This window comes from Homo sapiens, chromosome 4 (assembly GCF_000001405.40).
Source record: "Homo sapiens chromosome 4, GRCh38.p14 Primary Assembly".
NCBI lineage: Eukaryota > Metazoa > Chordata > Mammalia > Primates > Hominidae > Homo > Homo sapiens.
This window is the reverse complement of record NC_000004.12, coordinates 10,379,968-10,391,093: the sequence shown is the minus strand read 5'-3', so window position 1 is coordinate 10,391,093 and position 11,126 is coordinate 10,379,968.

Here is an 11,126-nt window from a genome sequence, read left to right as displayed (position 1 = left end):
AAAAAAAAAGACAAATGGGATCACATCAAGTTAAAAAGCTTCTGCACAACAAAGGAAACAAAGTGAAGAGACAACCCACAAAACAAGAGAAAATGTTTGCAAACTACCTATCTGACAAGGGATTGATAATCAGAATACATAAGGAGCTCAAACGGCCCAAGGAAAAAAAAACCTCAATCCAATGTAAAAATGGGCAAAAGATACAAATACACATCTCTCAAGACACACAAATGGCAAACAGGTATATGAAAAACATGCTCAACATCACTGATCATCTGAAAATTCAAATCAAAACTATGAGACATCATCTCATCCCAGTTGTGATGGCTTTAATCCAAAGGATAGGCAACAACAAATGCTGATAAGGGTGTAGGGAAATAGGAGTCCTTACATAATGTTAGTGGGAATGTGAATTACTACAAGTGCTATGGAGCAAAGTATGAAGGGTCCTCAAAAAAAATCTAAAAATAGAACTCCCATATGATCCAGCAATCCCACTGCTAGGTATATACCTCCAAAGGAAGGACATCAGTCTATCAAAGAGATACCTGCACTTCCACATTTATTGCAGCACTATTCACAATAGCCAAGGTTTGGAAGTAACCTGTGTCTATCAACAGACAAATAGATAAAGTGTTGTACATATACACGATGGAGGACCATTTAGCCGTACAAATCAATGAGATTTTGTCTTTTGCAACAACATGGATGGAACTGGAAGTCATTATGTTACGTGAAATAAGCCAGGCACAAAGACAAATGTCACATGATCTCACTCATTTGTGGGAGCTAAAAATTAAAACAATTAATCTCACGGAGGTAGAGAGTAGAATGATGGTTACCAGAAGCTGAGAAGGATAGTGAAGAGAGTAGGGGAAGTAAGGATGGGTAATGGGAACAAAAATATAGTTAAATGAGTAAGATCTAGTATTTGATAGCACAACAGCATAATTTACTGTACACTTAATAACTATTATATAATTGGAAAGCTCATAACACAAAAACATGATAAATGCTTGGGGTAAATATCCCATTTACCTTGATGTGATTTTACATGGTATGCCTGTATCAAAATGTTTTATGTACCTGATATGTATATGTACCCATAAAACTTAATTTTTTAAAAAAGGAACAATGATATTTAAAAGAAAAGAGGTACTAAGGGTATGTAAGAGGCTGTTATAACCATTGCCTTCTCCAGCCCCTGAAGAAGTTTTCCAGGAACTTAAGGGCCAGTCTACCTGTAGGAAAAGCTTGTTTATAAATAGGGAGAACCCTTTATTAACATTTTAAAAATTGTTTCAAAACAAACACTTAAGCATTGTTGATATTTTGCTATCGTCACTTAAATTTTTGTAAGATAGAAAATATTTACATTTATAAGATACTCTCTTCCCTCACCCACCTGTCCAATGCTGGTCAGCACTAAACCCTATTTGGAGATTACTTTAGGTGTGAAATTTACATGATTCATATTCTACCTAATAATGCTATTAATACTACTCCAAGTTGTAAGCGTCTCATAGCTTCTTTTCCCTCTTGGTGCAAGTTAATGGAATTGCCTTGAAATTCCTTGTTTCTTTTTCTAAAGCTTTTCCATGAGAAAAGCAAATATCTAAGTGTAAAATCCTCAGCATCCCTGCCGAGTTACAGAAAAACAAAAATATGCAAATTGGCATTAGATCCAGTATTAGAGATCCTAAAAGACTTGTAGGGAACTCTTCTGAATGTAATTCAGAGGGTTTGAAGATTATGAGGTAAAATGACTTAAAATAATTACATTTTAATTCTAGTTCACATAATAACAGAATCCAATTAAAACATTAATTTAAATTGCCCTTATTTGGGGATTTCAAAGATACTTATGTAGCTTCTCCCTGATTCTATCAAGTGAAATGAAAATGCAAACCCAACATGTTAGATTTTATTTCATGCAAGATTTTGGCTTTTGGTTTTTTAAACAATGCCTAAATGAAATGCCCCTAAATCCTAACATTTGCCTCATAGAGCAGGTAATTTACTGTAACCTACAAATCTAAGATTATATAAGTGCAAACAGATGTTCAATTAAATTGAACATAATTAAACCTAGTATCTATTATTTCTCGGAAACTCATACTATATTGCAAACTCTGTGGCTCTACAACTTGTTCCATTTTCCTTAAAACTTTACTAGAATAGAGTGTTAAATTTATCTGACAAATCCTTTATATCAAGGTGTTTTTTAAAATGCCTAATTGACCCAGACTAATATAATACTAAGATAGTTTAACTAGTTTTCTGGGCATTTCTAGAAAAGTAATTCTAAGAAATAATGTTGATAGTCCACATTACTTCCATGTATGATTTTCTAGTTTCTTGTGAACATATAAATTCATAACACTCAAGACGATTAAAATCAGCATACCATTGACTTCCGACTATATGTATGCATGTATGTGTATTGCATTTGCAATTATATCAAGGTAAAGTTAACAATTAAGAAAAATAATTACCTCCAGGTAACAGAAGCCTGGTGAATTAGAGAAAAGAAATTAGGCTTGATAATTGTACTCCATCTGGGAGTAGGATTTGTTTGAACAGTAGATGCTTTGGGAACTGTATTCCGATTTGTTTTTCCAACATCCTCCAGATTCTCTTTTGGGGCTTAACACCGTGTGAAGAAGGCACTTGCTTCCCCTTCACCTTCTGCCATGGTTGTAAGTTTCCTGAGGCCTCCCAGTCATGCTTCCTGTTAAGCCTGCAGAACTGTGAGTCAATTAAACCTCTTCATAAATTACCCAGTCTCAGGTAGTTCTTTGTAGAAGTGTGAGAATGGACTGATACATAATCCCAACACTGGAACACTCAAGCAATAAAAAAAAAAATCGAGTTAAAAAAACAAAATCAAAGGAGTACTAGAAGGAAAAAATATACTCACATTCAGCAAATAGTGCTAGATTTGCATGTGTTAGAAAAAGTAAGCTGATAAACTTAATTGATGCATTTTGAGAAGAGAGGTTGGAGTGAGTCATGAGGCACATGAAAGCTACAGTAAAGAAAATGTGTTATTCTTTTTATTATTATACTTTAAGTTTTAGGGTACATGTGCACAACATGCAGGTTTGTTACATATGTATACATGTGCCATGTTGGTGTGCTGCACCCATTAACTCATCATTTAACATTAGGTATATCTCCTAATGCTATCCCCCCCCTTCCCCCCACCCCACAACAGGCCCCAGAGTGTGATGTTCCCCTTCCTGTGCCCATGTGTTCTCATTGTTCAATTCCCACCTATGAGTGAGAACATGCGGTGTTTGGTTTTTTGTCCTTGCGATAGTTTGCTGAGAATGATGGTTTCCAGCTTCATCCATGTCTCTACAAAGGACATGAACTCATCCTTTTTTTTTCTCTCTCTCTTGTTTTTCACTCTTGTTGCCCAGGCTGGAGTGCAATAGCATGATCTCAACTCACCACAACCTCTACCTCCCAGGTTCAAGTGATTCTCCTGCCTCAGCCTCCTGAGTAGCTGGGATTAGAGGCATACACCACCACGCCCAGCTAATATTGTATTTCTAATAGAGACAGGGTTTCACTATGTCGAGACCAGGCTGGTCTCGAACTCCTGACCTCATGATCCACCTGCCTTGGCCTCCAAAGTGCTGGAATTATAGGTATGACCCATTGCACCCAGCTGTTGTGCACTTTTCTTAAATACATACCCAAATGTAAGGATATGCAAACTTTCCTGTCAAGTGATTCCTGGTCCACTCCAGGGCACTGAACACCTTATTCACTTAGACCAAGGTCTCCCTGTCCATCCCATACCTTCTTAAATCAATATGGTGATCTAGAATCAGGTCTCCAGACATGGTATCAGGGTATGTGTTGTACTAGTCAACCCTTGTCAAGAATAAAGGAGTACAAACCTGTATGACCCTGCAGCTAAGAGGATGAATTCCCACTGGAGGCCAATAATGGCCAAGACAATGCCCAGTTAAAAGTCCTCAGGGTAAGCACTTCTGTCCGAGATGAAAACGGCAAGAATGAATCAATTTGAAATATGGGCATAAACATCATGAATTGAAATTTCCAAAGGAGGATATTATTTGGGTTTTCTACGAATGAAACTGATAAAAATCTTCCCACAAAGTATCCGACGGGCCTAAATAACTTCACCACTGGATTCTGCCACCAGTTATGACATGACACCAGTCACACACCAATTATTCCAGACAACATAAAAAGATGGGAATATTTATCAAAAGGTTGCTTTCCCTTGGTAACCCCATGGGTTCACTAGAAGAGGCAGCATCCTCACCATCTCTTTTAGACTGAGACTATATGCTCACATCTCAGAGTGGCCATGAGGTTTCTACTCATTAGGTGCATGTTGCAGGTGAGAATAGTATCACAAGAGGCTGGTTAAGTCTCACTGATTGCTGACAGAAAGTTCTCTTCCCCAGTTTGGAATATTCTCTACCCTCCCTTATGGCTACTTCTGTTCCAATTGTCAGAACCACCTAGCCCAAAAAACCATGTCTAGTACAGACCTCAAAGAGTCCTAGACCTGATATGCAAGACCAGTAGCTGCTTCCACATCAGAGCCCCAGCTCACACTTGTGACTCAAGGAGACTGGCCGACCCACCACTCCCCACAGCAGGGAATGGGGATATCAGAATTCTGTTCCCGTGATCAGAGACTGAGCCCTTCTTTCCCAGAGAGCAAGGTGCTGTTGTGAAGGTGACCAAGATCGTTCCATGCATTTGTGAAAACCTGCGACCAGAGGCATCAAGAGAGAAAGGCAGATGCTTCCAGCACCGTGTGTTCTGTCAGTCCTTCACCTCCTTTGAGTGGGCTTCCAAGATGCTGCACCTACCACTGACTTGAGAAACTGCCAAAGATATACATCTCTCACCAACAATGCCTGCTCTTTATAAGATAAGGGGTGACTCAAGAATATTATCTGCTAAACTTTCTAAAAAGAAACAGTGGAGTTTGAAGCAGATATAGGTCACATCATTAACAATGAGGACACATCAGTACTCAGGCATGAGAGAGGAGACACCCTTTCCTCTCTGATCTTTGAGGTAGACCAATGAAATCATTCCCTTAGTGCTCTCTAACCTGAGGTGACCCTGGAAACAGGGCCCTTGCACAAAGGTGTCAGTGTATGAGCCCTACTAAAAATAAGGCAGCTATTCCTCATCCACTTACAGAAGAGTTTGGTACTCAGTTCTATTCAGAGGTAAAGACATTCAGCCAAGTCCTGAAGGAATTTCAGGCCAGAGGATGGACTGTGTACCAGCCCCACAGTGTCAGCGGCCTGCCATGAGGTGTTCTGAGAGTGGACCCAGTTTCTGAAACTGGGCTGCTGGGAAGTTTGCCATCTCCAAATGGTGCTATTATCCTGGGTGGATGGAACCAATTGAAGGAAAGAATTTTCAGGATAGAACCTGAGGAAGCACCTGTCAGTATAGAGCTGCTCACTGGATGCTGGGGCTGGGCAATTCTCATTAGGGCTCCAATAGGAGGCTCCATCAAACTCTTAGCCCCAGGCCTCACCTGGCCCTTAAGAGATCCCAACTTGTGTGACCACTGGTAACTTAAGTGACAGGATATTTTAACATCACATTGGATTAAGTTTCTGTGAAGGGTACAGCTGATTCTTTCAACATGTCCTTAGTATGTTGGATCAGACAGAGCTCCCACTGTCTAGATATGTATTCACCAGCCCAACACGACAAGAAACAAATTGGACATACTGCAGGAAGGCTATCATCTGGTCAGACTCAGTGGTTATCTTATAGAAATATAACCAGTCATAATCACAATCTTATATGGCAATGCCTGAGAGCATCCCCTGCTGCATCACATGAGGGATTTGTGGGAGCCACTAAGAGCTGCTGCACACATGCTCCAGGGTGGGGCAGCCTTCAGTGGGATGGGCTCCCTGAGGTGCTCAACTATGAGTCAACCTAAGAGCAACCTGTGGTCATATCAGATTCTGCACACCTTGGAGCACTCAGGGAAGATGCAGCTATGACCTAGATTATTAAAATAACTGCTTTAATTACTTATGTTCCTACTGCCTGTTCAATTGAAGAAAAGGCACAGTAACCAAAAGAAATGTTTACATTTCAGTCACTCAAACAGCTCGTTCCAAGGGGCTCCTCAGAACAGGGTGGAAAGTAGGACGTCAGGCACTTGGGTTCAAGGTGACCTCCGTGCCCATTACTTGTGGTTCAAACACCTGTGTCCTCATTCTCAGAGAAACCACAACCAATGGGAAAGAAAAGGCTGTCACCTGAAAGTTCTGCCACTTTAAGATAGTTTATATATCTTGAAGACAATTTTCAAGCAATAATCCCATGGCAGCATATTGAATACCCAGAGATTTTCGAGCTCAAGTGCGTGATTCTTGGGGCAACATCTGAGAAACCAGGCTTAAAGTAAACATTGTGCATGTAACAGCTGCCTGTGGACATGTCTAGAGAGAAATCAGAGCTAAAGTCTATCCCAAAGTAACCAGAGGGAGAAAATCTCACATAGACCATGAAAAAAACTCAGATGGAGAAGATCTGCTTATGGCAAATAAGCAGCAAGGATATCAGGAAGATGAGTTTAAGAATTCTGTATGCTGAGACCTTGAGGATTTGGCAGAATGAGGTCACACAAAGCCCAGACACCTGTTGTCAAACAAAAGCAAAATAGGCTTGGAATTCCTCACGGTGTTCATCATTGGTGTTGAAAATAACCTGGAACCAAGGTAAAACACTGCAGTGAATGCAGCAGGACCCCAGTTTCAAACACGTTTCACTCTCGTCTGATTCAGACTTGAGTGTTTCAAGGGAGATGTCACCCACCAAGCCAGCCTTCATTAGGATTCACAGGGCTAAATGCAAAGATAAAGACCATCCAAAGATGATGAATGTCAGAATTTTCAGCTATGGAACAGTCCTATTGCAATAGGACTGATGCCGTTCCTTTCTCACTAAAGGGCAACCCAAGTATATTAATTTATTTTCACGCTGCTGATAAAGACATACCTGAGACTGGTTAATTTATGAAGAAGAGGTTTAATAGACTCACAGTTCCACATGGCTGGGGAGGCTTCATAATCATGGCAGAAGGCAAGGAGGAACAAAGGCATGTCTTACATGGCAACAGGCAAGGGAAGAATGAGAGCCAAATGAAGGTAGAAACACCTTATAAAGCCACCAGATCTCATAAGAACTCACTATCATGAAAACAGTAAGAGGGAAACCAACGCCATGATTCAATCATCTCCACCCGGTTCCACCCTTGATATGTGGGGATTATTACAGTTCAAGATGAGATTTGGTTGGTGACACAGCCAAACCATATCATTCCACCCCGGCCCCTCCCAAATCTCATGTTCTCACTTTTCAAAACACAATCATGCCCTTCCAACGGTCCTCTAAAGCCTTAACTCATTCCAGCATTAACCCTGAAGTCCAAGTCCAAAGTCTCATCTGAAATGAGGCAAGTCCTTCCCACCCATGAGCCTATAAAATCAAAAGCAAGTTACTTCCTAGATACAGGCATTGGGTAAATACACCCATTCCAGATGGATGGGAGAAATTGGCCCAAACCAATAGGCTACAGATCCTATACAAGTCCAAAATTCAGTGGGACAGTCAAATCTTAAAGCTCTGAAGTGATCTCCTTTGACTCCATGTCTCACATCCAGGTCATGCTGATGCAAGAGGTGGGCTCCCATGGTCTTGGACATCTCTGCCCCTATGGCTTTGCAAGGTATAGCCCCTCCACCCATCCAAATCTGGTTTCATGGGCTGGCATCAAGTGTCTGACTTTTTTTTAGGGGCATGGTGCAAGCTGTTGGTGGATCTACTATTCCGGGGGGCTGGAGTACAGTGGCCCTCTTTCTCACAGCTCTACTAGGCAGTGCCCCAGTGAGGACTATGTGGGGGCTCCTGCTGCACATTTCCCTTCTGCATTGCCCTAGCCGAGGTTCCCCATGAGGGCTCTACCCCTGCAACAAACTTATGCCTGGACAGGTATTTCCATACATCCTCTGAAATCTAGGCAGAGGTTCTCAAACCTCAATTATTGACTTGTGTGCACCTGCAGGCTCAACACAATGTGTAAGTTGCCAAGGCTTGGGGCTTATACCCTTTGAAGCCATGGCCCAAACAGTACCTTGGCCCCTTTTAGCTAAGACTGGAGCAGCTGGGACACAGGGCACCAAGTCCTTAGGCTGCACACAGCAAGAGTCCCCTGAGACTGGCCCATGAAACCGTTTTTTCCTTCTCGACCTCCAGGCCTGAGATGTGAGAGGCTGCAGTGAAGACCTCTGACATGCCCAGGAGACATTTACCCCACTGTCTTGCTGATTAACATTTGGCTCTTTACTTATACAAATTTAAGCATGAATTTCTCCTTAGAAAATGGGTTCTTTTCTATCGCATCAGGCTGCAAAGTTTCTTTGTACTTTTATGCTGTGTTTCCCTTATAAAACTGAATGCTTTTAATAGCACCCAAAGTCATCTGTTGAATGCTTTGCTGCTTAGAAATTTCTTCCACTGGATACCCTAAATCATCTCCCTCAAGTTCAAAGTTCCACAAATCTCTGTGATAGCGGCAAAATGCTACCAGTTTCTTTGCTAAAACATAGCAAGAGTCACCTTTACTTCAGTTCCCAACAAGTTCCTCATCTCCATCTGAAACCACCTCAGCCTAGATTTCATTGTCAGCATTTTTGTCAAAGCTATCTGAGTTTTCAGGAGGTTCTAAACTTTCCCATATTTTCCTGCCTTCTGAGCCCTCCAAACTGTTCCAACCTCTGCCTGTTACCCAGTTCCAAAGTCACTTCCACATTTTAGGGTATCTTTATAGCAGTACCCCACTCTGCTGGTACCAATTTACTGTATCAGTCTGTTTTCACACTGCTGATAAAGACACACCCGAGACTGTGTAATTTACAAATTAAAAGAGGTTTAATGGGCTCAGAGTTCCACATGGCTGGGGAGGCCTCACAATCATGGCAGAAGACAAAAACCCCATCTTACATGGTGGCAGGCAAGAGAAGAATGAGAGCCAAAGGGCGAAACCCCTTATAACACCATCAGATTTCATGAGAACTTTCATGAGAACAGTATGGGGGAAACCAACCCCATGATACAATCATCTCCACCTGGTTCTGCCCTTGACATGTGAGGATTATTGCAATTCAAGGTGAGATTTGGATGGGGACATAGAGCCAAACCATATCACCCAGGAACATTGGGATCCCTCCGGGAAGTATGGACAAGTGTGAGAGACTGGAAATCTCAGTGTTATCCTCTAGACCCCCTTTTTCTGAGCACAGCAGTGGAAGACAGCACCATGCCTGTTGTCTCATCCCATCAGGACCCTTTCCCATGACTTCAAGGTCATTGTCCTAAGGCTTTCCCAAAATTATCCCAAGGCAGCTCAGCCTCAGGCACTAAGGGCCATCTCAGCTGTGCAGAGAGCAGATTAACCTTGATCAATGGGTTGTCAGTTTGAGAGTGAATCCCAGAACACCGTTTCCTAGGAGGCACATCCTGAGATGATTCTGAAATATTTCCTGTCAGCATTCCCGGTAAGACTGAACCACAACAGCCTAGAGGCAAGCAGCCCAACGCTCTGCCCATCTCCACTGCTTTCACTGCTCCATCCTCTGGGGCTCCAGGATCACTTCTTAAAACAAATCTTCCAAGCACAGGTCTCAGATTATGAGTTTAGTGAATTCAAACTAAGACGTCAGCATTTTCTTCCATACTTCAATTAGGACAAAGAATAAGCATTCTCTCATTTGATTGATATGAAAGTATCAAGTTATCTAAGTCAGGAATATAAAATGAGGCATACATTTTAAAGTCTCTATTTGAAGATAAAATTATGAGCGTTGTTCAATTTAAATCTCAGTTATTTGTGCTAATGCCTGAGAGACAACTGAGCAAACCTTTTCCAACAAGTAGATATAGGATATACATGTTGACTATGAAGAAAATGATTCTCTAATTTTCAACCTCCCACCAGAAGCACAGATGGACAAGGGCTCCTTGCTTCCTCTACACGAGAAAAACTTCCTGTTTTTCTAGACCAAAAAATAAGCAATCTTTAAATTATTGTGAAAAACTGCATTCCATTGAAACACTTTCAGATTTGAAACAAAGCTCAAGGTAGCACAGACACAGCCTCATTCATGATGACTCAAGTTCTCAAGACACTGTCCAATTCAGCTTCCTTATTCTAAGAATCACTAGCTGAACAAGGACTGAAGTGGAAACAAACTCCCTAAGGAGATACCTGTGAACACAACCAAAAACAGCCAATATTCCACACCACAAGGAGTCAAGAGAGAAAGTCACTGTGGCCCAAGAGAGACACAGTGTCCAGTATCACAGAGCAACAGTGAACAAGGAGCTGCGAAGCAGAGACAGGCAGTGTCCACCTTCAAGCCTTTATGCCCCCTGTGCAGTGCCTACTGTGATGTTGTATCATCCCTGACGTACTGTGCTGGAAACACAGGAGTGGGGCTTTGAAATGCTAAGACACTGAAATGTGTTCCAAATAGAGGTAGGAACCCAGAATAGGTCTGCACATACCCATTCCTTCATCTAAGAAAAACCCTATAAGGTTGTAAAACCTACACAATAGAGCAGAAGAAGGGTCTTTGGGACAACAGATTTTATAAAATAATGGCAAAATCCATAGGAAGTGGAATACATCTAGCCACACATCAACAGAAATAAGCTGCATCCTTGGGACATGCTTAAATACCAAATATATATATATATGTGTGTGTGTGTGTATATATATACATACACATACATATACACACACATGCATATATATACATGTATGTGTATATATACACTTGTATGTATACATGTATGTGTGTACACGTATATATGTGTATGTGTATATGTATATATGTATATACATATATATGTATATGTATATGTATGTACCCATGTGTGTACATGTGTGTATATATGTGTATATGTGTGTGTATATGTGTGTATGTGTGTGTATATGTGTATATGTGTATATATGTGTATGTGTATATATGTGTATATGTGTATATATATTATATACGTATATATATGTGTACATGTGTGTATGTGTGTAT